The 22962-nt window shown below is 42.9% G+C and overlaps 2 protein-coding genes across 6 annotated transcripts in view, besides 14 other annotated features; one reads left to right on the forward strand and one right to left on the reverse strand.

The window, feature by feature from the left end:
- FAF1 (Fas associated factor 1) overlaps window positions 1–3622 on the reverse strand; it is a 523240-nt gene extending 519618 nt beyond the window's left edge. For 2 of the 3 annotated variants that reach the window (NM_007051.3, XM_047442745.1), the window contains exon 1: window positions 3122–3622. In NM_007051.3, the coding sequence (NP_008982.1) occupies window positions 3122–3166 (45 nt within the window). In that variant the 5' untranslated portion in view covers window positions 3167–3622. Of the gene's footprint in view, window positions 1–2369; window positions 2467–3121 lie in introns of all 3 variants that reach the window. The other variant, XM_047442743.1, reaches the window with a different exon arrangement.
- Window positions 2909–2958: an enhancer, noted in NCBI's record as "active region_1012". NCBI's record gives its function as "activates an Ori minimal core promoter by ATAC-STARR-seq in GM12878 lymphoblastoid cells {active_cell/tissue: GM12878}" and the evidence as "EXISTENCE:reporter gene assay evidence [ECO:0000049][PMID:35858748]".
- Window positions 3269–3318: a silencer, noted in NCBI's record as "silent region_864". NCBI's record gives its function as "represses an Ori minimal core promoter by ATAC-STARR-seq in GM12878 lymphoblastoid cells {active_cell/tissue: GM12878}" and the evidence as "EXISTENCE:reporter gene assay evidence [ECO:0000049][PMID:35858748]".
- Window positions 3429–3588: a silencer, noted in NCBI's record as "silent region_865". NCBI's record gives its function as "represses an Ori minimal core promoter by ATAC-STARR-seq in GM12878 lymphoblastoid cells {active_cell/tissue: GM12878}" and the evidence as "EXISTENCE:reporter gene assay evidence [ECO:0000049][PMID:35858748]".
- On the forward strand, window positions 4100–17989 carry CDKN2C (cyclin dependent kinase inhibitor 2C). 3 transcript variants are annotated; one of them, NM_001429675.1, is made up of 4 exons: window positions 4100–4158; window positions 11291–13254; window positions 13713–13852; window positions 17248–17989. In NM_001429675.1, the coding sequence occupies exons 3-4, from the start codon at window positions 13724–13726 to the stop codon at window positions 17623–17625; spliced, it is 507 nt and encodes a 168-aa protein (NP_001416604.1). In that variant the 5' UTR covers window positions 4100–4158; window positions 11291–13254; window positions 13713–13723; the 3' UTR covers window positions 17626–17989. The 3 variants fall into 3 exon arrangements, with proteins under 3 accessions (NP_001416604.1, NP_001253.1, NP_523240.1); NM_001262.3 differs by lacking the exon at window positions 4100–4158 and having other exon boundaries at window positions 12061–13254; NM_078626.3 differs by lacking the exons at window positions 4100–4158; window positions 11291–13254 and having other exon boundaries at window positions 13600–13852.
- Window positions 11859–12118: a silencer, noted in NCBI's record as "silent region_866". NCBI's record gives its function as "represses an Ori minimal core promoter by ATAC-STARR-seq in GM12878 lymphoblastoid cells {active_cell/tissue: GM12878}" and the evidence as "EXISTENCE:reporter gene assay evidence [ECO:0000049][PMID:35858748]".
- Window positions 12369–12438: an enhancer, noted in NCBI's record as "active region_1013". NCBI's record gives its function as "activates an Ori minimal core promoter by ATAC-STARR-seq in GM12878 lymphoblastoid cells {active_cell/tissue: GM12878}" and the evidence as "EXISTENCE:reporter gene assay evidence [ECO:0000049][PMID:35858748]".
- Window positions 12669–12938: a silencer, noted in NCBI's record as "silent region_867". NCBI's record gives its function as "represses an Ori minimal core promoter by ATAC-STARR-seq in GM12878 lymphoblastoid cells {active_cell/tissue: GM12878}" and the evidence as "EXISTENCE:reporter gene assay evidence [ECO:0000049][PMID:35858748]".
- Window positions 19807–19856: an enhancer, noted in NCBI's record as "active region_1014". NCBI's record gives its function as "activates an Ori minimal core promoter by ATAC-STARR-seq in GM12878 lymphoblastoid cells {active_cell/tissue: GM12878}" and the evidence as "EXISTENCE:reporter gene assay evidence [ECO:0000049][PMID:35858748]".
- Window positions 20197–20486: an enhancer, noted in NCBI's record as "active region_1015". NCBI's record gives its function as "activates an Ori minimal core promoter by ATAC-STARR-seq in GM12878 lymphoblastoid cells {active_cell/tissue: GM12878}" and the evidence as "EXISTENCE:reporter gene assay evidence [ECO:0000049][PMID:35858748]".
- Window positions 20557–20666: an enhancer, noted in NCBI's record as "active region_1016". NCBI's record gives its function as "activates an Ori minimal core promoter by ATAC-STARR-seq in GM12878 lymphoblastoid cells {active_cell/tissue: GM12878}" and the evidence as "EXISTENCE:reporter gene assay evidence [ECO:0000049][PMID:35858748]".
- Window positions 20757–20836: an enhancer, noted in NCBI's record as "active region_1017". NCBI's record gives its function as "activates an Ori minimal core promoter by ATAC-STARR-seq in GM12878 lymphoblastoid cells {active_cell/tissue: GM12878}" and the evidence as "EXISTENCE:reporter gene assay evidence [ECO:0000049][PMID:35858748]".
- Window positions 20987–21156: a silencer, noted in NCBI's record as "silent region_868". NCBI's record gives its function as "represses an Ori minimal core promoter by ATAC-STARR-seq in GM12878 lymphoblastoid cells {active_cell/tissue: GM12878}" and the evidence as "EXISTENCE:reporter gene assay evidence [ECO:0000049][PMID:35858748]".
- Window positions 21387–21446: a silencer, noted in NCBI's record as "silent region_869". NCBI's record gives its function as "represses an Ori minimal core promoter by ATAC-STARR-seq in GM12878 lymphoblastoid cells {active_cell/tissue: GM12878}" and the evidence as "EXISTENCE:reporter gene assay evidence [ECO:0000049][PMID:35858748]".
- Window positions 21467–21686: a silencer, noted in NCBI's record as "silent region_870". NCBI's record gives its function as "represses an Ori minimal core promoter by ATAC-STARR-seq in GM12878 lymphoblastoid cells {active_cell/tissue: GM12878}" and the evidence as "EXISTENCE:reporter gene assay evidence [ECO:0000049][PMID:35858748]".
- Window positions 22118–22627: a transcriptional cis regulatory region, noted in NCBI's record as "candidate enhancer chr1.6035 targeted for multiplex CRISPR interference". NCBI's record gives its function as "positively regulates CDKN2C gene expression in K562 cells {active_cell/tissue: K562}" and the evidence as "EXISTENCE:mutant phenotype evidence [ECO:0000015][PMID:30612741]".

The raw sequence follows: 22962 nt of genomic DNA on the forward strand, positions 1-22962 counted from the left end.
ATCCTTAAATTAAATGATTTGAGCCGGGTGCGGTGGCTCATGCCTGTAATCCCAGCACTTTGGGAGGCCAAGGCAGGTGGATCACCTGAGGTCGGGGGTTCGAGACCAGCCTAACCAACATGGAGAAACCCCATCTCTACTAAAAATACAAAATTAGCTGGGCATGGTGGTACATGCCTGTAATCCCAGCTACTCAGTAGGCTGAGGCAGGAGAATCACTTGAACCCGAGAGGCGGAGGTTGCAGTGAGGCGAGATCATGCCATTGCACTCCAGCCTGGGCAACAAGAGTGAAACTCCATCTCAGAAAAAATAAATAAGTAAATAAATAAATTACCTGGTTTTCTTATAACTGAATAAATGCTTACTTTTAAGTCAATCCTATAAAAATTGAGATAATATAAAAAACAGGAAGAATCATCACTTTTTACTAAGACGATCATTTGTAAGAGAACTCCAGGTTCCTAAACACACAAATGGCTAATGTGTTTAAGGTGTGTAGTTTTCCAAATAATTTTTTCTTCTATCAATAACATTCTTTTACCTATTTGACAATATAAAATTAACATTATTAGGCAAACAATTGTTCACTGCAGATGCCATTCTATTTTTCCCATTTTTAAACAATTGTGTATAGCATTACCATTGGTCTGAAGAGAAAAACTTATTCCCATCTTATTAATGGGATCGAAATTTTCATTTTCTTTTTTTTTTTTTTTTTTTTTTGAGACAGAGTCTCGCTCTGTCGCCCAGGCTAGAGTACAGTGGCGCAATCTCAGCTCGCTGCAAGCTCCGCCTCCCAGGTTCACGCCATTCTCCTGCCTCAGCCTCCCGAGTAGCTGGGACTACAGGCGCCCGCCACCTCGACCGGCTAATTTTTTGTATTTTTTTAGTAGAGACCGGGTTTCGCCATGTTCACCAGGATGGTCTTGATCTCCTGACCTCGTGATCCGCCCCCTCAGCCTCCCAAAGTACTGGGATTACAGGCCTGAGCCACCATGCCCGGCCGAAATTTTCATTTTCATTTCCAAACCAAAATCCCTGGAAAATCTTGCTTTGCCTGAGTACAAGAAGCCTAAATTTCCTGTCCTTTAGCCAATATAAGGTTAACAGTTAAGCATAATAATTGTCACACACAAAAAATAGAAAGCAGATGCAAGTTATTAGAGATAAAAAGGTAAAATTAAAACAAAGTTATAATTACTTTATAAAGTTTTTAATGAGGGAAATCAGAAGACAATTTTGTAACACGGTAAAACTACACCTTGAAATATAGAGTCCTTTTTCAAACAGTGCATTCCACATTAGATAAAAAATGGAACTGGAGAACAAAAACAAAACAAAAAGACGATGATGAAAAACTTAGGCAGGGCTGGGTGTTGGAGCTTACACCTGTATTCCCAACACTTTCGGAGCCTGAGGTGGGTAGATCACTTGAGCCCAGGAGTTCAAGACCAGCCTGGGCAACATGGCAAGGCCCATCTCTAAAAAATTTAATTAATTAATTAATTGAAAAATTTTTTAAAATGTAGGCAGGCAAAAAGCCTCAGGCCAATCCTAAACCTACAAAACATCAAAATCTTATGGTCAACTTTTATTATAAGGACACTCCTTTATTAGTTTGGAGGTTATGGTTTAATCAAACTGTAGATATATGCATATTCCTAATACCTGTATATCAGATTTCACTGGGTAACCAAAACAGCAAACTCTGAAAATGGTTATCTGAACGTTAATTTGTAAAAATAAGGGCCGGGAGCAGTGTGGCTCACGCCTGTAATCCCAGCACTTTGGGAGGCCGAGGAGGGTGGATCACGAGGTCAGGAGATCAAGACCATCCTGACTAACACGGCGAAACCCTGTCTCTACTAAAAATACAAAAATATTAGCCAGGCGTGGTGGCCGGCGCCTGTAGTCCCAGCTACTCGGGAGGCTGAGGCAGGAGAATGGCGTGAACCTGGGAGGCGGAGCTTGCAATGAGCCGAGATCGCGCCACTGCACTCCAGCCTGGGCGACAGAGCGAGACTCCGTCTCAAAAAAAAAAAAAAATTAATTAATTTTAAAAAAAATAAGGAACTTAATAGAACAGAGAGAGAGAAAAGCCCAACAAAATTTCAGCAAGGAAAAATACTGCCTACTAAGCTAGTGTTAGAACCTGTGCAATGTGAGTATTAAAAAAGAGGGAAAAGTCTGCCTATACTTGACAGTAGCTTCTAAGTTGATGCCAAAATGGCCAAAAATATCTCACTAAAATAATTCCTTCACCAAACATCAAAAGGCAAAGGTAGCACTCACAGGATATTAGTTCTAGCTCCAAGTCTTTCACAATGCATACAGTTCTACTTTCAAAGGGCCTTCCTAAGATACTTACATGTCAGTGGCACTACGACTGGGTTTATTAAGAGAACAGCCTTTACTTATCCTTTAAAGTATTCCTGGAGAAAGGACACCAACCAAGCAATTCAAGTCTGTAGGGGAGGGGAATCCGCAAATATGAATAGGTAATTTATTAAGCTTGTGAATTCATTGCAGAGATACTCTGGAATATATAGTCTTATCTGTCTCCTTGTTATCTTCTTACCCTCCAAAGATTCCAATTAGGCAAAGTCTCAAATGTTTACTCCTCTTTGAAAAGGACCTCAGTACCCCATTGTCATTGCCCTCGCCATCTCATCATTCTGCTTTTTTACTCTTCCCTTAATACAATATAAATACACCACGCCCATAACACCACACGCTCCACGCTCACACTCCATACATCTCTCCCCACAGAACCACCCAAAACATCCCATACTTAATGGTCCAACACCAATTAAAACAAAAACTCTACACGTCCCCCCATATAATACAGGAAACACTACACATTCCACACACATTGTAACCCAAGTCATTAATACCTCCAATCCCATTCAACCCGTACTTAACACATTCTACACACTCATGATAGCATATAAATTATACGCTTCTCCATAGCTCGCCACACACACACACACACGCCACGCACCGTATAAAAGCCTAAATGACACACCACTGCAGCGTTCAAACGCTGGGAAGAAGACTCCCTTGTGGCACCGGAAACCCACGAGGTTGGAAGTGGGAGGGGAAGAGGGCCAGATACTTCACCTGAAAATCCGCCAGGATCATCTCCCGGTCCATGTTGGACGCCATGGCGGCCGCCGAGTTCCGCGGCTCCGGGAGCGAAGCGCGCACCTGGGAGGCAGACGGCACCTCCTGCGACCGTCGCCGCCACCGCCGCCGCCGCCGCCGGGCGCCGAGGGGCTGGCGGGCGAGCCGGCGGGCGGGTCGGCGGGCCAGCGGGCGGGGCAGCGCGGGAAGCGCTAGGCGCTCATGCACTCGGTAACCTTCAGGCGCCCCGGCCGCCCGCCTGCAACCTGCGGAGCCCGCGTCGCAGCAGCCCGGACAGGAAGATTGGTCTGGATGTGGGTCCGGTCTTACAGTCGCGGGCCAGGATGAGGGCAGGTTGCGACAGCGCGCACCCGGATACCTTCAGCGGCGTTAAGCCCGGCGGGGGCGGGGAAACCGAGCGAGCGAGCGGGCGGGCGAACGCCGCGGCCGCCTCCGCCTCCTCCGCTTCCTCCCTGGCCGCCGCCTCCGCCCCTGGTTGGCCAGCGCCACGGCTGTCGCACATTTTGCCTGTCATCGAGGTCGCAAAGCGCCGCTTTGCGGCTCCACGTGACCACCCTCCTGTCAAGCGCTGAGCGCGCGACTACCCGGCCAGGATCTCTGCGCTGGCGGCAGAGACTGCAACCTGCAGCTGCGGAAGCTTCAAGTCTCGCAACAGGTTATTCCAGTTTGGATTTAAGCAAAGGCCTCAGGATAGCGCCTCCCCCTAGCTGAGGCGGGGACCAGATTGTGCACCTCACGTGGTTAGTCACACAAATACACACCACCCTCACAAACCAACTAAACACACTGTTACAACTCGTCTAACAAACAGCATTTCAGAAATATATGTTTTTCTCTACAATGTTTCAGCAAAATACAGCTTCATATAGTCTCTCACGCTCAACCTGTCAAAACCGAATCCACACTGTCACACCCAGTCCCAAGCTCCCTGACGTCTGCATCCTCAGACTCCGTAACACAGAAGTAACCAGACTGCCATGGTAGACATGGGAGAGACGAGGAAGCTGAGAAAGGTAAAAATCTCGTTCCAGAGAAGAGGAGGAGCATTTTTTTTAATTGATAAGGTAGTTATGAGAAATAACAACCTCGAGTTAATAGGGTTGCTCCAAAGGGGGAAAAAAGGGAAAACCTTTCTACTGCTGCAGTTATATTTGTTTTTTTAAGCTGAGACATCTTACAAATGGGATAAAACTTGAATCCAGCTTTGAATATAGTCAGTCTATTTTTATTTATTTATTTATTTATTTATTTATTTATTATTTTGAGACGGAGTCTCGCACTGTGGCCCGGGCTGGAGTGCAGTGGCGCGATCTCGGCTCGCTGCGACCTCCGCTTTCTGGGTTCAAGCGATTCTCCTGCCTCAGCCTCCATAGTAGCTGGGATTACAGGCTCCCGCCACCAAGCCCGGCTAAGTTTTTTTTGTATTTTTAGTAGAGACGGGGTTTCACTATGTTGGGCAAGCTGATCTCGAACTCCTGTCCTCGTGATCCGCCCTCCTCGGCCTCCCAAAGTGTTGGGATTACAGGCGTGAGCCACTGCACCCGGCCTATTCATTTTCATAAGAAATTATTTTGGAATATTCACCAAATATTGAAAGTTTCAACCCATGGTCAGAAATTGACAACCTCTGTAACTAAAACAGCCAAAGACTATGTACAATGAAGTGTGACAGTTTGTAATTGTCGTCCAGGTTAGAGAAAGTGTGACAGTGGAAGTTGTTCATCCTTGACTTGGGAAAATATCAGCTTCTGGATTGTCATGGGGCATTTACTTGCTTTGGAAAGTATGTAAAAGCTTGAAAATGTGAAGTAAGATTGCTGATTTTATCCTGTAGAGCTAAAATAACTAGTGAAATCATCATGTAGCATGAAGGCCTAGGCTTCCCTTAAGAACTTTTTAAACTTGTATCATTTATTTACTTTTTTAGAGACAGGGCCTCACTATGTTGCCCAGGCTGGCTTCCAACTCCTGTGCTCAAGCCATCCTCCCACCTCAGCCTCCTGAGAGTGGGGATTACAGGTGTGAGCCATACCACCACACCCAGCAAGGCCTAGGCTCCATAAACTGGGAATATATTCATGAGAAATCAGAAATATGACCTAATTGTTCAGTTTCACTGAATATAAAGAAGTGCACTGTATTATGATCTGAGTTTATTCTGTGTGTTTCCTTAAATGAAAATAGGCTGGCCTACAGTTCTTAAGTACTAATCTGTGTTTAGACCAGAATTAGCTAGATAATAGAACCCTCCACAGTCACATGAATCAAAATGTCTTGCTTAATTTTCAGCCGTAAGAAAATAATTCCATGGCCAGGGCAGTGGCTTATGCCTATAATCCCAACACTTTGGGAGGCCGAGGCAGGCAGATCACTTGAGGTCAGGAGTTCAAGACCAGCCTGGCCAACATAGTGAAATCCCATCTCTGCTAAAAATAATACAAAAATTAGCTGGGCATGGTGGCATATGCCTGTAGTCCCAGCTACTAGGGAGGCTGAGGGAGGAGAATCACCTGAACCTGGGAGGTGGAGGTTGCAGTGTGAACCAAGATCACACTACTGCACCCCAGCCTGGGTGACAGAGTAAAACTGTTTCAAAATAAATAAATAAATATTTTTTTAAAAAGAAAGTAATTCCAAAAGTCAGCACAAATGTGAATCATGAGGCAAAACACAGCACCAATAATATAAATGTGGCAATTCAGTTGCCCCATTCATATAGGCCACCCTCAGTATAAGGCAGGTGAATAATTGTTTCTAGTTATATGGCCAAGGATTAATGCAGTCCTAAAAAGTTGAGAGTTTTTCTCTGTAATGATGCGTGTGTACCTCAGAACCCATTCAAATCCCATGTTGCTCCCTTTTTCTTTCCTTTCTCTCCATCTGGAAATTAAAACAATGTGGTATGTAGAACAATGGGATGAACACACTAGACATTCAGGCATATATTAGTACTGCTTTTCCAAATAATTAGCTGAGGGAACTTGGATGAGTCATTTAATCTCTCTGACTTCAGCTACTCACAGGACTATTTCCTCTGATAAATGAAAAAACAATTATGAAAATGCATGGAAAATATAAAATATTGGTATCACACTAACATAAATTTAATAGTCAATAATTGTGGTTTGAGTTCTAACTCTGCTCTTTAACAAAGGCTCTCTGGTTCTATTTCTTTATCTCTAAAATTGGGCTAAAAAGCTTGTGATTTTGAATGTTGAATGATCAAATGCTTGTGAAAATTCCTCATAAACCTTAAAACTCTCCAAACATATTAGTTATTACTCTGTATACCAATTCCTAAATGCTTTTCTCAGGACCACCCCTTTCATAAAATTTAAGCCAGTAAGGATCTTTCTCCTTTCTAATTACTGCTTTTACTATCTTTACAACACAACTTAGTGCTCCAGTAAATTTTGTAATTTTTTTCTCTAATTGTTTTCATATATGTATGTTTAATCTCCCCCCAAAGGTTGAAAGTTTCTTGAGATTATAAACCGCTTTATGCCATGTGTTTTTATATTCACCATAGTGCAAACATAGCAAAGTCTTGTGAACATAACAGATGGCAAATGCTTTTGAATTTATTAATTTTTATTGGGAGTCTACTATGTACAGATACATTACAAACTTTATCTCATTTAATATTTACAACTACTACTTTACAGAATATAAAGCTGCTCTGGCAAGTTAAGAATTTGCTCAAAGTCATGCTACAGAGTGACAGACCTAGGATTCAAGACTAGGTCAAATTAGTGCTCCTTCCACTTACCATGTTGCCTCTGTACAATTTCCCTTCCATGCTGCTTAGTTTATACCATTCCCAAAGACACTGTTTCTTCCCTATGGCCTAACTCTTCATGGTTGGATACCTAGCATCCAGAGTGGTTATCTACTACAGATAAGAGAAGGGAAGAAAAATAAATACTGAATTAGGAGAAAAAAAATCATTTTTCATTTCTCCAGAATTCCATCCTTAAGAGAAACAATTTCAGTTAAGTGTCATAAACCAAAAGAAGGAAATGTAAAGAAATTTGGTCCATGCACGAGCAAAGAAAAGTAATTTTAATTTATCTATTCTCATAGTTGGCCCACAGTAGTTCATGGAGCTCAGCCTAAGTTAAATACAGATCTTTTTCTAGAATCTCCATGTTCTTTTAAAAGAAACTTTTATATCATCTTTATTTCCAATATAAATAATAAATATTATTTATATTTTACTAAATTTTTATTTGAAATTATTTTAGAATACTTCCAAAGACAGTACAGAATGTTCCTATATGCTTTTAGCCCATTTTTCTCTAATGTTACCATCTTATTTAACATGGTACATCTATCAAAACTAGGAAATTAACACTGCTAAATACTACTAGTTAAATTCTGGAGGCTCTATTTGGATTTTTACACTAATGTCCTTTTCTTGTTCCATGGTCCAATAATACCACATTACATTTAGTTGTCATGTCTCAGTAGCCTCTTCCAATCTGTGACAGTTTCTCAGTGGACACTTCTGAAGAGTCAGGAACTTTATAAAATCTCCCTCAATCTGGGATTACCTAATGTATTCTCAGAATTACACTGAGATGTGTATCACCGCAGAGGTGATATGTCCTTGTTACATCATATCAAGGCCATGTGTTATCAACTTGAGTTATTACTGGTAGTGATAACCTTGATTCTTTGGTTAAGATAACCAATTTCTTAAATAATACTTCTTGCTCATAATGTAATTCATGAGAAAACTAATGCTACTGCACATATGTATTTCATCTAGTGATTTAGTGTTGTTTAGGATACTAGTGGCGGACCCTGGACTAATGGAAAAAGTATAAGGTTTGGAGCCCCAAGAACTGAATTCAAATCCTATGTCTAGTATTCACTGACTTTAAATCACAATTTCTGCCAGCCTCAATTCCCTCACCTGAAATACGGGGATTATTATCACAGTCACTTCACAGAATTGTTGTAAAGATTAATATATGCATTGGCTGTGTGTGGTGGCTCACACCTGTAATCCCAGCACTTTGGGAGGCCAAGGTGGGCGGATCATGAGGTCAGGAGTTCGAGACCAGCCTGACCAACATGGTGAAACCCTGTCTCTACTAAAGATACAAAAATTAGCCGGGCGTGGTGGTGCGCACCTGTAATCCCAGGTACTCGGGGGCTGAGGCAGAAGAATTGCTTGAACCTAGGAGGCAGAGATTGGAGTGAGCTGAGATCGCGCCACTGCACTCTGCCTGGGCGACAAAGCGAGATTCAGTCTCAAAAATATAGATAGATAGATAGATAGATAGATAGATAGATAGATAGATATGCATCATATTTTATAACCATGAAACACTATACAAATATTAATTGTTGCTATTATTTTTCAGCTTTTGGGTTGCTTACTGGGCTTTTTTTCCTTCTTACTTTAACGAAGAACTTTCAGGCCGGGTGCGGTGGCTCACACCTGTAATCCTAGCACTGTGGGAGGCTGAGTCGGGCAGATCATGAGGTCAGGAGATGGAGACCATCCTGGCCAACGTGGTGAAACCCCATCTCTACTAAAAATACAAAAATTAGCTGGGTGTGGTAGTGGGCGCCTGTAATCCCAGCTACTCAGGAGGCTGAGGCAGGAGAATGGCTTGAATTTGGAGGTGGAGGTTGCAGTGAGCCGGGATCGCGCCACTGCACTCCAGCCTGATGACAGAGAGAGACTCTGTCTCAAAAAAAAAAGAACTTTCAGCCTGGCCAATATAGTAAGACCCCATCTCCACAAAATTAGAAAAATTATCCAGGCATGGTGGAGCATGCCTGTGGTCCCAGCGACTCCAGAGGCTGAGGTAGGAGGGTCACTTGGACCTGGGAAGTCAAGGCTTCAGTGAGCCATGATCATGACCAAGCCACTGCACTCTAGCCTGGGCAACAGAGTGAGAACCTGTCTCAAAAATAAAATAAAATAAAAATAATAAAAAATTTTCATAAATAAGTACCTATATGAAAAAAACCACTGAATCTCAGAAATAAAATGCTGAAGCTACAATTATAAAGTCACATAAAAGGCTGCCTGGGGGTGCCCAGTCTGTTTTCCACCTCTGTTGATCTATAAATACAACAAAAAGGAAAACTTTGAGACCAGTTAAATAAATGGTAAATACCACATACACATTTCCAAAAGTTAATCATTCAGAAACTGTACCTACTTGAGTCAATGAGGGAAAAGCACAGAATAATTTGACTGAATCACATTTCTATTCTATGTCAATGAGGGAAAAGCACAGAATAATTTGACTGAATCACATTTCTATTCTATGTCTCTTTTTTTTTTTTTTTTTGAGACTGCTGGGCCGCCACTGCCTCCCAGGTTCAAGCAATCCTCCTGCCTCAGCCTCCTGAGCAGCTGGGATTACAGGCGCCAGCCACCACGCCCAGCTAATTTTTTTTTGTATTTTTAGTGGAGTTGGGGTTTAACCATGTTGGCCAGGCTGGTCTCGAACTCCTGACCTCAGGTGATCTGCCCACCTCAGCCTCCCAAAATGCTGGGATTATAGGCGTGAGCCACTGCGCCCGGCCACTTCTATGTCTCCTTAAATGATTATGAACTGCTGGAGCAAAAGGTTTCCATGACTGTTAATATTTAATATCTAACTATAAAGGCTATATTTCAGTATTTGATGTACTTATCATTTTGATGTTAAAAAGGAAAGCACCACTCTCAATATAGTAGAAACTTAACTATGAATTTTTCTTGTAAGCCATGTTAGAATATAAGCTTATTGAGGGTAGAGATACCCTTGAATCTGCTGTAGTGAACTAGCCCTCAATAAATACTAGATTTTCATTGGAGTTACTGTGTAATACTTATGTATGCCTTCTGAACTAAGACCCTAAGCTCTGCACTGCCAATTCTGGTTTACCCAACAGGCAGATGAAGCATATGCTTCAGGGCACCAGCAAAACCAGAATGTTAAAAAAAAAAAAAAAACCTTTGCCAAATAATTTAATATCTCAGCAAAACCACTGAAGTAGCCATCATGGGAAAAAAATCAGAACTTTGTTGGACTTTTTTACTGTTATTTTGGGGTTCTGTTATTTTTCTTTTTATTTCTATATAAGGAAGAGGTGGTAGAACATCAAAATCTTTTCAGTGCTTAGGGCCTCCAAAAATCTTAATACAACTCTGTGTACATCTTAAATTATCATAAGTTTTCCTTAGTTGTTCAGCAATAAGCATTTTATTTCATGAAAATTATAGTACGTTTACCCGTACTTTATGTAATCATACAATTTAAGATTCTTCCTCTTTACAATTTATCTCTAAGCAAGAAACCATAATAAATGCTAGAAGGCAATCCTCATAAATTGGACTAATACCAGTTCTCTTTTATCAGCCAACAGTGCTAATATGTCCTCACACCCTCTGGCTGTATGAAAAGATTACACAGTTCCCAGAATAATCAAAAGTAAATTATTATTTATTTCTTACTGGTATAAATGGAATCTTAAATGTTTCTATTTGAAACGTCTACATATATGTAAGAAAAAGAGAGTTAATTTCTTGTTTTGTAGTTCTCATTTGATTCACAATTCAAGTTTAGTTACCTAAGAAAAGAACTCTAGTTTTTTTCTCAACAATTACATTAAAGAAAACACTGCCAGATTCTTCCCAGTTTCAACTTTCCCTCTACCTACCAATCTCTTGCTGGATGATTACCCAGATATTTCTGGTGTGTTTTGTTGCTAATACTCCCAGTGTACTTCAAGAAGGGTACAGATACTGCTTGAGGATCCGCTTGCCAAAGGCCGGTTCTAATTAGACTTGTCATTTTTTGCTTGGTTTCATTTTGACCACTGGGTGCATCATGCAACCGTGTTGGATATTTTTAAGAGTATAAAAATACAGAAAGCAATAGTTAATTAATCTCACATAGCTAAAAGAGGAAGTTAAAAGTACTGGAAATTGGTGTCGGATGATTAAATAAAGGATTAGGAGAGAGACCATTCTAGACACCCTCCCCAACCCCACATCCCCAAAATCCAAGCCACTTCTAAGTAGTGAGAGAACTTCGGCAACCAAGAAATGGCTTTGTTAGAAAACACTTCACACGACTTATTTTAAATTTTGCTTTAAATTTAATTGCTTTTCTCCTTTTTCTCTAATAATAGGACTATTTCGCAGTTTCCAGTCCTTGATTAATTAAGGCTTCAGAGTTCGTTCTTACATATGCCATGTCTTAAGTTTTCATAAAATTCAGTCTACACAAGACTTGCTTTTTGTGAGCACTGTGCTTAGTGGCAGTCCGGATTTTTCCCTCCACCCCCGCGGCCACCCCTGCCCACCGCGCCGTCGGGCATGGATCTGGCAGGTGCGAGGCCGAGGCCAGGGCTCAGCGAAGGACGCCGAGTTTACAGAGCGCGCGCGCCTAGAGGAGGCAGCAGCAGCCGCAGCCTGGCCGCCCGAACTTTGCGAGCCTGGCGGGGGAGCACAGAGGCGGGCCGACCTGCCCCGCTAGCGCTGAGGAACGACTCCCTTTATGCCAGCTCGCTGTCCGCCTTCCCGCAGCGTACGCTGCGGAGCCTCAAAGACCCTGCGGCCCTCCACAACCGTCTTAAATAACAAACCCCTGTCCTCGCCCCCGTAGGAATTGGGGCAGCTGGGGGTTCGCGTCACAGACTCAAGCCCGCCAGCAGAAGGGCAGGCCGGACTTCGCGGGGCCGAACCCCGCTCCAGCTGGGGACAGGCCGCCTAGCCGGCAGGAGGGAGCCGGCGCGAGAGACTTGACGGGAGGAGGTGGAGAGCGGGAGGCGGGAATGAGGGCGCGGGACCGGGCGGGCGGAGCGTGCGAGACTGCGAGCGCGAGCGCCAGCAGGGCGGAGGGCGGGGCGTGGGCGGCGCCCGGCCTTCCCGCTCCCGCGGCGCTGCAACTCTGCCGAGCCTCCTTAAAACTCTGCCGTTAAAATGGGGGCGGGTTTTTCAACTCAAAAAGCGCTCAATTTTTTTCTTTTCAAAAAAAGCTGATGAGGTCGGAAAAAAGGGAGAAGAAACCGGCACCCTCTCTGAGAGGCAACAGAAGCAGCAATTGTTTCAGCGAAAAAAGCAGCAAGGGAGGGAGTGAAGGAAAAAAGCAAAAAAGGGGGCGACACGCAAGTGCCTGTAGGGGTGAAAGGAGCAGGGACCGGCGATCTAGGGGGGGATCAGCTACAAAAGAAACTGTCACTGGGAGCGGTGCGGCCAAGGAGGAAGCAGTGCTGCCAGGCTCTGCTCCAGGGCACAGCTGGCTGGCGGCTGCCCTGTCCGCAGCAAAGGGGCACAGGCCGGGGACCGCGAGAGGTGGCAAAGTGGCACCGGGCGCCGAGGCTGCTGAGCGCTCGCCGAGACGGCGACCGGACTGGCTGCCCCGGAACTGCGGCGACTCTCCCTACTCAGAACTTGGCCTACGTTTCCCAGGACTCTCCCCATCTCCAGAGGCCCCCACAAAACCGGGAAAGGAAGGAAAGGACAGCGGCGGCAGCAGCTCAATGAGTGCCTACAGCAGAAAGCCTGAACGAGCTCGGTCGTAGGCGGGAAGTTCCCGGGGGGGCTGCCCAGTGCAGCCGCAATGCTGCCGCGAGCTGCCCCAGCAGTCCGGGCTCCGTAGACGCTTTCCGCATCACTCTCCTTCCTCGGGCTGCCGGGAGTCCCGGGACCTGGCGGGGCCGGCATGACGGGCTTCTCGGGGGCCCGCCGCACGCCCGGCAGCCTCCGGAGACGCGCGCCGAGCCCGGCTCCCACGGCCTCTGAGGCTCGGCGGGGCTGCGGCTGCCTGGCGGGCGGGCTCCGGAGCTTTCCTGAGCGGCATTAGCCCACGGCTTGGCCCGGACGCGACCAAAGGCTCTTCTGGAGAAGCCCAGAGCACTGGGCAATCGTTACGACCTGTAACTTGAGGGCCACCGAACTGCTACTCCCGTTCGCCTTTGGCGATCATCTTTTAACCCTCCGGAGCACGTCAGCATCCAGCCACCGCGGCGCTCTCCCAGCAGCGGAGGACCCAGGACTATCCCTTCGGCGAGACGGATGGAAACCGAGCCCCCTGGAGGACCTGCCCCTGCAGTTCTGCCTCACACGGCTCAAGTCACCACCGTGAACAAGGGTGGGTGAATGCCTTTTCTTCCCCCTGAATGTCTTTCCTTCCGCGGTATTTTCTGCCCCGATCTATAGTCCCTTGAGTCTCCACACACACTCCTCACAGAGATCTGTAGCGTAGGTACGTGACAGCTCTGCCTACATCTGACGTCCGGAGTCATTAACCAGGAATGTATGTGTGTCTGTGTGTCTCTCTGTGGAGTCGTCAGAATTCTTCATAGGGGTTAAGCTAAAAAAGCGAGGCGAGGAGCCCCTCTCCAATGGCTCAGTTTTGCTGAATAATCACGTGTGAATCGAGGGGCGGGCTTTTGGCAGGCAGATCTTACTAGTATTTACTACCAAGCTCTACTCCAGATTAACCATCCCAGTCCTTCTGTCAGTCTCCGATGCCATCATGCAGCCTGGTTAGGAGCAAAGGAAAGGGGAAAAAGAAAAACGACTAATTCATCTTTTCCTGATCGTCAGGACCCTAAAGAATGGCCGAGCCTTGGGGGAACGAGTTGGCGTCCGCAGCTGCCAGGGGGGACCTAGAGCAACTTACTAGTTTGTTGCAAAATAATGTAAACGTCAATGCACAAAATGGATTTGGAAGGACTGCGCTGCAGGTTGGTATTAAGAGAGGTGGGGAAAACAAGTCAATAATGTTGCCTACGTGACCCGGGTTTCTAGATTTACAGCTTTTAAGCTTTCAGGGACATAAAATTTCACTGTTTTTAAACCTAGTTGGTTGCCATATTTTATATCTTTAAGTGGATGCAACTTCTCAAAATGACGTACTTTGAACAAACTCCTCAAATCCAATAACATCCTTGATATCAAGTGGGGTCCAGATTTGGTCTTAGTTTTTGGAATGTTTTTGTGACGGTGGGGATTTTAAAGTAGTCAGTGTAGGGCCGAGGTTTGTTTGTTTTGTTTTGTTTTTAAAGACAGCTCTGTAAACACATTATTATGATTATTATTTGAAGTAAATACACTGCTATTAGTGGTTTTACGTACTTTGCCCCCAATAATAGACTTTAACGTTAATTTTCTTGACTACTGATGAGGGTGTTTTTCCTTCAAATGCTTCAAGTTTTGACAAACGACCTTTCCTCGTTTGGAATGGGTGGCCTGGGCACCGGGACAGGATGTACATTTTACAGTTAATGTAATACCATCCACTCATTCAGGAGTCGGGAGGAATAAAAAGTTGAATTTTCTAATCAGAGCTCAGCTGCAGTGTCTTTGTCTCTACGGTCATGCCGTGGTGTGCTCTAATTTTCAGTAATTAGATTTACAGGCAACAATTGACACATGTCCAGCTGCCAAGTATTGTACCTGATAATTTTTTTCCTCTTCTGAATGTTATCATGTAACTTAGGTGAAAGGCTTAGAAACAGAAAAATGACAAAATAGTTTAAAATAGTTGCTTTATCAGAGTTCTGATGATATTCTTATGAGCTATTCTTATTTGGAAATGCAACACTTGAAGCTGTTTTTGAAAACCCAGTGGGGAGAGGGTTTTTAGAGGGCTTTGTTTCGGTTACAAGAATTAAAAATTTAAGTGCCAAGAGATATACTATTAACAAACAAAGTCCATACAGTCTGTACATTTTCAGTCAGAATACACTGGCCTTGCAAAAATTTCAGTATTAAGGAAGTTTATGCACAGATACTAAATTATTTATCTTGTTATTGCTGCTACATTAAGTAATGATTTTTTTTCCTTTTTCTACCTAGTAGTTTTGAACAGGTTTAGTGATGATAGCAAAGTAACAAATTTAATATATTGAAAAGTTTCCTTTTGAAAACTCAAAAGATTATATAAACTTCACAAAGAATGAACTACTTAACCCATGTTCATGATAAGATTTTACAGGATTTTTGACGAACAGGAAGACTGGGAAATTAATAATATTCTTTTAAAAAGTTTTGACAAACATTTTTAATACAACTTTGCAATCTTGTTTATATTAAACATACTTATCAAGATACTAACACCCACTTATTGTGGCTTAGTCCTTGTACATATAACGAAACACACACACAGAAACTGGAGTTTCAAGGCTTATTTTCAATATGTATAATCCTGACTCTGAAGTTGTGTCATAAGTCAAGAAATAACTTTCTTCAAAACCGTTTCCAATATTGCTATTATTTTCTGTGAAAAAAGGTGAATTTTCTTCTACAATTATGTTTATTTAACTCAATTTCAAAAGCCTTTTCCACCTTCCTAGTGTACATTTTTCTATCAGGTTAATATCAAAGGCCTTAATCGTATGTTTGCTTTACGAAGATCCAAGGTATCTGTCTCTTATTTTTCTCATTCCAGGTCCTTAAATATGACTAAATCTTTAGGGACAGTTGTGGTCGTATCAATTTTTAATAACCAAAAAGTATGTTTCATTGAAGTTCTTGAAATATAAATTATGTATCACTGTTTACCACTGCTCCAAAGGAAGAGCTAAAAATCAACAGTTTTATCAACAGGGGAGCTTAATATCTTGTCCATCTATGTAGTTTGCATTTACAAAATATTACTCATTTTAAATATATTTTGTTATTTAATGTGTGATTAGATTTTTTTAAACAAACATTTAAAAAAGATAGAACGACTTTGTATTTTCCATTAGCATTTAATTTCATAAACATTGAGTGTCTATTATACAAGATATTTATTATAAATTTAGATTATTATGGATATACCTAGATATAAATAAACCAGTGTAAATTCTGAAAATGTGTGGCATGTTAATGAAAGTAATATTTTTTCACAACTAAATTATATGTATTTTATATTTGCATGCTGTTCTACAAGATACTTTATAAGAGACCACTGTTAGAGTGAAATATATTCAAACAATAGTAGATAATCTTTGTTATGTGAATTATTTGTATGTTGATAGCAAGTGTTAATACCACATTCTGACTTTTAAAATGTTGGCAGTTTACAAATAGCTGTTCCTTAAATGCTTGATAATAACTGAAAAAGGAACTAACACAGGATCACCAGTTGATTATTAAATGAGCTCAAACCACAAGACAAGGCTGTCCGTGTCCCAAAACACCCATTAAATATCTTATTTTTTCTTCTTTTGCTCATTTGAAAATCAGGAGGCTTGTCAGAACTTTGAGAAACAGTATATAATGTAATAGGGTGACTATTTCATTATTTTCAAGAACAGTTGTCCTACAATAATTTCCTACTGTGATACAAGGCATATCAGGAACTTAGTTTTATATAAATTGATATCATAAGCAATTTAGAACACTGTGGCTTATTTAACACCTTAATAATCAGTACTGTTTTGTAACTTAAAATGAAGGATTCTAAACATTGAATACACCTAGTAGCCAATATTAAATAACTTGCAAATAAAAAATATTTTTAAGAAATGCTTGGAAATTTGGAGCTATATCTATTTGGAGGGAACTTGTAAAAATTGATCATTTAAGAAAATATCAGGCCTGGATTTTTAAAACATCATTTTTACACTCACTCATGGAGTTGGTTTAGAGAAACTCAACATCCTTATTTGTTTGCAGTAGCTATTTAGAAAATAAAGTTTAACCACATATGATTTTCTAGAATTAATACCACAGGCACATTTTATGAGCATGAACAATCAAACAGAAGGAGACTCTTATTTAAATCCCAAATTCCATTTCTGTTATTTTAATAAATTCGTGAAATTACACAACTCTTCATGGAACATAGAGAACAGAATTGTTAGCAAATGCTATACATGTTGCACAAATTCTATCTTATTGATCAATTTATCCTACTTTTGGGCCCATTTAAGACGTTCCATCATAGAAGCTCAATTTTTAGAAGTTGTCTTCTACTTTCACCTACTAGCACTTTTCTGCATTTGACCCCTTCAAGCCCCATCCTATGGGTCTTCCGCAAGAACTCCATCAAAAATAAATAGTTACATAAATGGAAGGACAGGCAGATATTTTAAAATATCTCTGTAGCATATGCACTTGAAGGATTCTACCATTTCTACTTCTTTTCCAGGTTATGAAACTTGGAAATCCCGAGATTGCCAGGAGACTGCTACTTAGAGGTGCTAATCCCGATTTGAAAGACCGAACTGGTTTCGCTGTCATTCATGATGCGGCCAGAGCAGGTTTCCTGGACACTTTACAGACTTTGCTGGAGTTTCAAGCTGATGTTAACATCGAGGATAATGAAGGGAACCTGCCCTTGCACTTGGCTGCCAAAGAAGGCCACCTCCGGGTGGTGGAGTTCCTGGTGAAGCACACGGCCAGCAATGTGGGGCATCGGAACCATAAGGGGGACACCGCCTGTGATTTGGCCAGGCTCTATGGGAGGAATGAGGTTGTTAGCCTGATGCAGGCAAACGGGGCTGGGGGAGCCACAAATCTTCAATAAACGTGGGGAGGGCTCCCCCACGTTGCCTCTACTTTATCAATTAACTGAGTAGCTCTCCTGACTTTTAATGTCATTTGTTAAAATACAGTTCTGTCATATGTTAAGCAGCTAAATTTTCTGAAACTGCATAAGTGAAAATCTTACAACAGGCTTATGAATATATTTAAGCAACATCTTTTTAACCTGCAAAATCTGTTCTAACATGTAATTGCAGATAACTTTGACTTTCTTCTGAATATTTTATCTTTCCTTGGCTTTTCCCTTGCTTCCCCTTTTGCCAATCTCAACACCCAAGTTGAAGACTTTGTTTTTAAAATGGTTTGTCCTGATGCTTTTGTCTAATTAAAACACTTTCAAAACAGGACAACATTTTTCTGTGATTTTCCCTCCTTTAGAACCCATACACAACTTATCACTTGCTAAGGAGAACTGTACTAAAAGTTATTGAATGTCTTAAGTCTTTACACTAGAAAAGGTAGACCAACTGGAAAACTAGACATACTCTCTTGATGATTCAGTTGTTTTCATCCTTTACCCATGTCCCGTCCACCTTGGTGCCTAGTATTTCTGCTTTAAAACAAAATAAGGACAACTTTTTTTTTTTTTGAAGATTAAGCCTGAAATTTCAGTGTGAATTTCCCTTAATGTCCAATCTTCCCTTTTTCTCGACATTAAGTCAAATAGTTGAAGGACAGAGTTCAGAAGTAGCAATCTGAAAACATATTTTAGCTCTAAAGTTTTAAAAGAAAATGCCACCTTAAAAATGCTTACCACTAATGGATTTTTAATCACAAAATGAAGCAAATGGTTAAATAATACACTTCCCAAAATTATATCATAAATACACTAAGTGTAATGTGGACTTTTTCTCCCTGAGTGTAAGAAATGTAAAATTACAAAATGTTTAAGCATTAAAGTGCAAATATCAATCTTTAGGCAATGAAAAACAGCGAGACAAATGTATAAATTACATATAAAGGTCATAACTATTTCAGAATTTGCAGAATAATAAATGTAGAAAGTTTTAAAATAATAAATGAGCAACTCCCACAAATGGTACTTAATTTCCACAAAACTTTTTAGTAAAAGAGTATACAATCTTTTTAGGAGCACATTTACCTAAAAAAAATTTTTTAATTTTTAAATTTTTTTTAAGGAAGTAGAAATATTAAATTTCCAAGACAATTTTCTAGCATCTACTACTTGGTCATTTTAATTTACACTTTTCAACAACAGATTTCAATACAGTTATCATTTGCAAATTCATACATACTTTATTCATCATCTACCACATGATCAAAGATGTTTTATGTGAACGTTCCCTCCTACTTCATAAGCTCTCTGCCCTCACTCCAAAAAGAATAAAATGCCTCAAGGTTTATTGAAGGACATGGTTCTGATGCCTGACCTAACAAGGATTGGAATGGCTGGGTGGCAGGCAAGTGGTTTTCAATAATTTATTTTCCATGATAGTATAAAAGAATATAGAAAGAAAAGATTAATCCTTTTAATTTTGCAGTAAAATTTACATTCCCTAAGTGCAAAAAGACCTCATCCTCTGACACCTTTAACCACAAATTACTAAATAAATTTATTTTTGATGGCAACAAAATTGAAACACTTATTTAAGAAAAACAGAGATTGAGGTGGTTTTGAAGTAAAAGTGTCATATTTTGGATTCTAAAATGGAGTCAATATACAAAATATACTACTTTGATAAGCCGAATATTTTTTAACAGAACACTAACTGAAAGTAATTTTTTTAAAAAACCCTCTTACAAGTTACAACTGTAAAGATGGACGGTCATGATTTTAAAATCCAGTTTAATGGACTTCACAGCATCCAACATGTCTCGGCATTTACTTTATTTAATAGAATAAAATTTCCCTTTAGAGATTTCAAATATAAAAGCATAGGACATTCATAAAGCAAAAGAGGAGTTACTTCTGCAGTTGCTTTGTTCTCGGGTGGTCGGAGCACAATAGAGGGAGAGGACGCTCTATCTTTTCATCAGTCTAAAAGTTGTTAGGCATTAAAACATCGCCATATTACTCTAGCTCTGTGCGGGAAGTAGCTTTGCTAATCTAAGTATTTTAGAAATGAGTTATGTGGTCCCCTCTAGGAAATATGAAAAGCCATTATTCAATCTCAAAAACCTCAACAATATTCTGTAAGCCTCTTGAACATGCCGAAATGTATAGGATGGATGAAACGGTGCTGCTGGGGACCTATTTTTCAGCGACCTGAGGTGGGGAGGGAGGGGTCTGAACTTATTCAGATGCAGAGAGTGGGGATGCAAGTGCTAATTAATGGAGTGTCCAGAGCTCCAGGAGACGACGCTGTTGTAAGGATGGAGGATACAAAGCAGAGGATGCGCTCTCAAATTCAGTTCTTCACCGCTGCGTCCACATTCACGTCGGGAAACTTGGTCTCAGCCTTTGCCCAGGAAGCTGAAGCCAGGCTTACACCTGGGGGTGGAGGGCACTAACATGACCTCGGTTCAAGTTCTGGTCCCCGAACTGCTAAACAAAGTGTCTTTTATCACATTTTGGTAGTGAATTAAGTTTTCTGATAAACATTATGCATCTTGCAACGGTGTGATGAGTTCATGTACACACACACCACAATGGGCGACTGATCAATAAGTAGGTTAAGTATTCTGTCCCGAGAAAGCAATATGATGTATTTCCCTTATCGTATTGATCAAAAGAACGTTGTGGATGGAGTCCGTGGCCCAGGACTGGTTTCGAAATCTCAGTTCCCAAAAAGGTGCTTTCGGCTTTTGCCGGGGGTAGAAGTAAATAGTCCATAGGCGCCGGGCAGTCACAGTGCTGGAGCAAGAAAAGGTCGTGCTCACAGCCTTCCTGGCTGCCCTAAGCAACCTTCATCAAAAGGCTACGGGGGAAAGTCCCTGTCTCGGTCTCTGGAGACTGTTCTGCTTTTATATGGCAGTCCCATGAAAACAGCTCCACGCAGGAACCTAGTGAGAGGCAGGAAACAAATTTCCCACCTGAGACCCCGGGTAAAGCTCTGCCCATAGCCAACCCAAGCCTTCCACGGAGGGGCTGCGAAGACATCTTTTCTGTCCCTCTGAAACTCCTTCTCCAGACTCCAGCTCCAACTCCCGGGGCCCTAGTGATAGGAAGCTGGAGCCCAGAGCTCCCTCAGGGCGCGCAGAAAAGCCAGGGGTGGGGGTGGGGGAGCTTCAAAACCGTTAGCTCGCGTTTTTTCCCCCTCCCTCGCTAAGGTTTCTTTTCTTTTCTCTTCCTGTCCAAATATTTCAAATTTCCGCGCCTTAAATAACAGTCTCCTTTTATTTAGTTAGTTTCCTCGGCAGGTTTGGCAGCCCGCTTGTCTCTGCCCCCCTACGGGCCCGGGGCGCCTCGGGCGCCTCGGTGCTGCCTGCAGCCCCCGCGCGCTGCCCCCAGCCCAGCTTGCGCTGTACGGAGCGCGCCCGCCGGAGTCACAGCCCCCTCCTGCCGCGACCTCGCCTGACCCGGCTGTCCGGGCACCCGGAGGCAACTAAGGCCGCCCCCTGCCCAGATGCCGGCCTGCCTCTCAGCTTGACTTCCCTCCCCGGACTTTGGAGTGTCTTCTGCGTTAGGATTTGGATCCCAGTGGCCCTGGAGCGGCAGAAGGGCCGCGGCGATAGGAAAGCAGCGAAGGAGGCCAGTGGCCGGAGTCTGCCCCAGCCCCCACCCGCGGGTAACCTTGGAGGCGCCCTCGGAGTGAGTGTGTGCGCGGCCGCGCGGCCGGCCGGGGCGAGCAGGAGCACCGCGCCGCGGGCAGGAGGCGGGAGCGGGGGGGCGGGGAGGGGGAGCGGGCGCCGGCGCCTCCCGGCCGCCGGCGCAGCGCCCCGGGAGCTGCGGGTTCCCCGGGCGGCCAGGCGACCCCGGTCCTGGCCCTCAGGCAGCGGTCCCCGAGGAGGCGGCAGCCATCCCACTGGACGGTTCTGGCGACCTGTGCCTGAGGACCGGGGCCGGAGGGCGGCCAGGGAGCAAGGGCCAGCGGGCCGGTGAGTGCCTAGCTCTTCGCGGAGGTGAGCTGGCGGCGGGACGCAGCGGGGAGGCTGAGCAAACGGCGCCCGACCTCGATGCCAGCACTCCCTTCCCCTCCCCCCATGACAGCTGAGGACAGCCGGGCTCTGAGCCTCGCGTCCAGTTGCGAGGAGGCAAATGCCTCTCTGGCTTCTTAGCCCCTCAGACTATTCGGGAAGTTGACCTATGGTTTTGTCGGTCCCCCCCCCAACCCCACAAATTACTAGACGCCCAGGACTGACAATGCACGTTCAATTCCGAAAGACCCTCCTCCCGAAACACCGTGAACTGCAGGGCTCGGGTGCGCAAAACACCTAGAAAGGGGTCTTTTTTCAACCCGAAATAGTTTTGAAAATCGAGTACTGTAGGGATCATCAGCGACGCCTCAAAACAATTAAAAAAAAATCCCCAGATCTGGACACAGACTTGCTAAATTAAGGTTCCAGTGAAATGTTTTGTCATTTGCTCTAGAAACATTGTGCGAGCTTCAGGTGTTAGGATGTGGGTTTGGAATTTTCTGTGGTGTCTTTAATCCTCAAAGACATTAAATAACAGCGTGGTTACACCCCCCGGCAAGCGAGCAAAGGTTATCCTTGCCACCACAGCACCTGCAGAAGCACAGTGGAACTCACATATTTTGCTTCCTGAGTTCTAAAATGGCTTCTGAACAGTCCAGAGGTACCAGCACATAGGAGCAGGGGGACCGGAGACCGGGAGAGAGATTGTACATTTAAAAAAACTACGCAGATACTATTACACTTCAATTGTTCCACCTCACCTTTCTCCCCCAGCCCTCATCCTCATCGGACAAGGAAGAATTTTAGTGTAGGCCTGTTCAATAATTCTAAATACAGCCTTTTTCTTTTCTCTCATGTCTCCCCCCACCACCAAATAAAAACAAAAACAAAAAACAACCAGCCAAAAACATCAGCTCTTTGGGGGAGGAAGTAAAAAACCACCAATCCTTATCCAACTACACGTCATTTCTTTTGAGCACTAAGAAGAAATGCTACATACAACCAATGCTATGAAAGAAATAATTTATCAGGACTTCATACGCATTTAATTTGGTATAATTAAAGTGATATTGTCTTTTAACATGAAAATAATGGGACAGTTTCTGAAACTGATGCATGAAAAACTCAAAAATCTTCCTGGACATTTTTGGAGACAGAAGCTTCTGCTCTTTTAATTTTCTAAGTAACTAAGAGTAGTTACTTAGAAAAAGCTGATACTTTATCTTGACCATATAAAGCAGTATCATGCGAATTTTATTTTCATTATGTGTCTTAGATTTTC

This window comes from Homo sapiens, chromosome 1 (assembly GCF_000001405.40).
Source record: "Homo sapiens chromosome 1, GRCh38.p14 Primary Assembly".
In the NCBI taxonomy this organism is placed as follows: domain Eukaryota; kingdom Metazoa; phylum Chordata; class Mammalia; order Primates; family Hominidae; genus Homo; species Homo sapiens.

Excerpts from the sequence above, each read along its gene's own strand:
- CDKN2C (NM_001429675.1), top strand. The coding sequence starts at position 13,724 with ATGGCCGAGCCTTGGGGGAACGAGTTGGCGTCCGCAGCTGCCAGGGGG. Across the intron at positions 13,853-17,247 it reads TTGGAAGGACTGCGCTGCAG|GTTATGAAACTTGGAAATCC; the intron begins GTTGGTATTAAG and ends CTTCTTTTCCAG.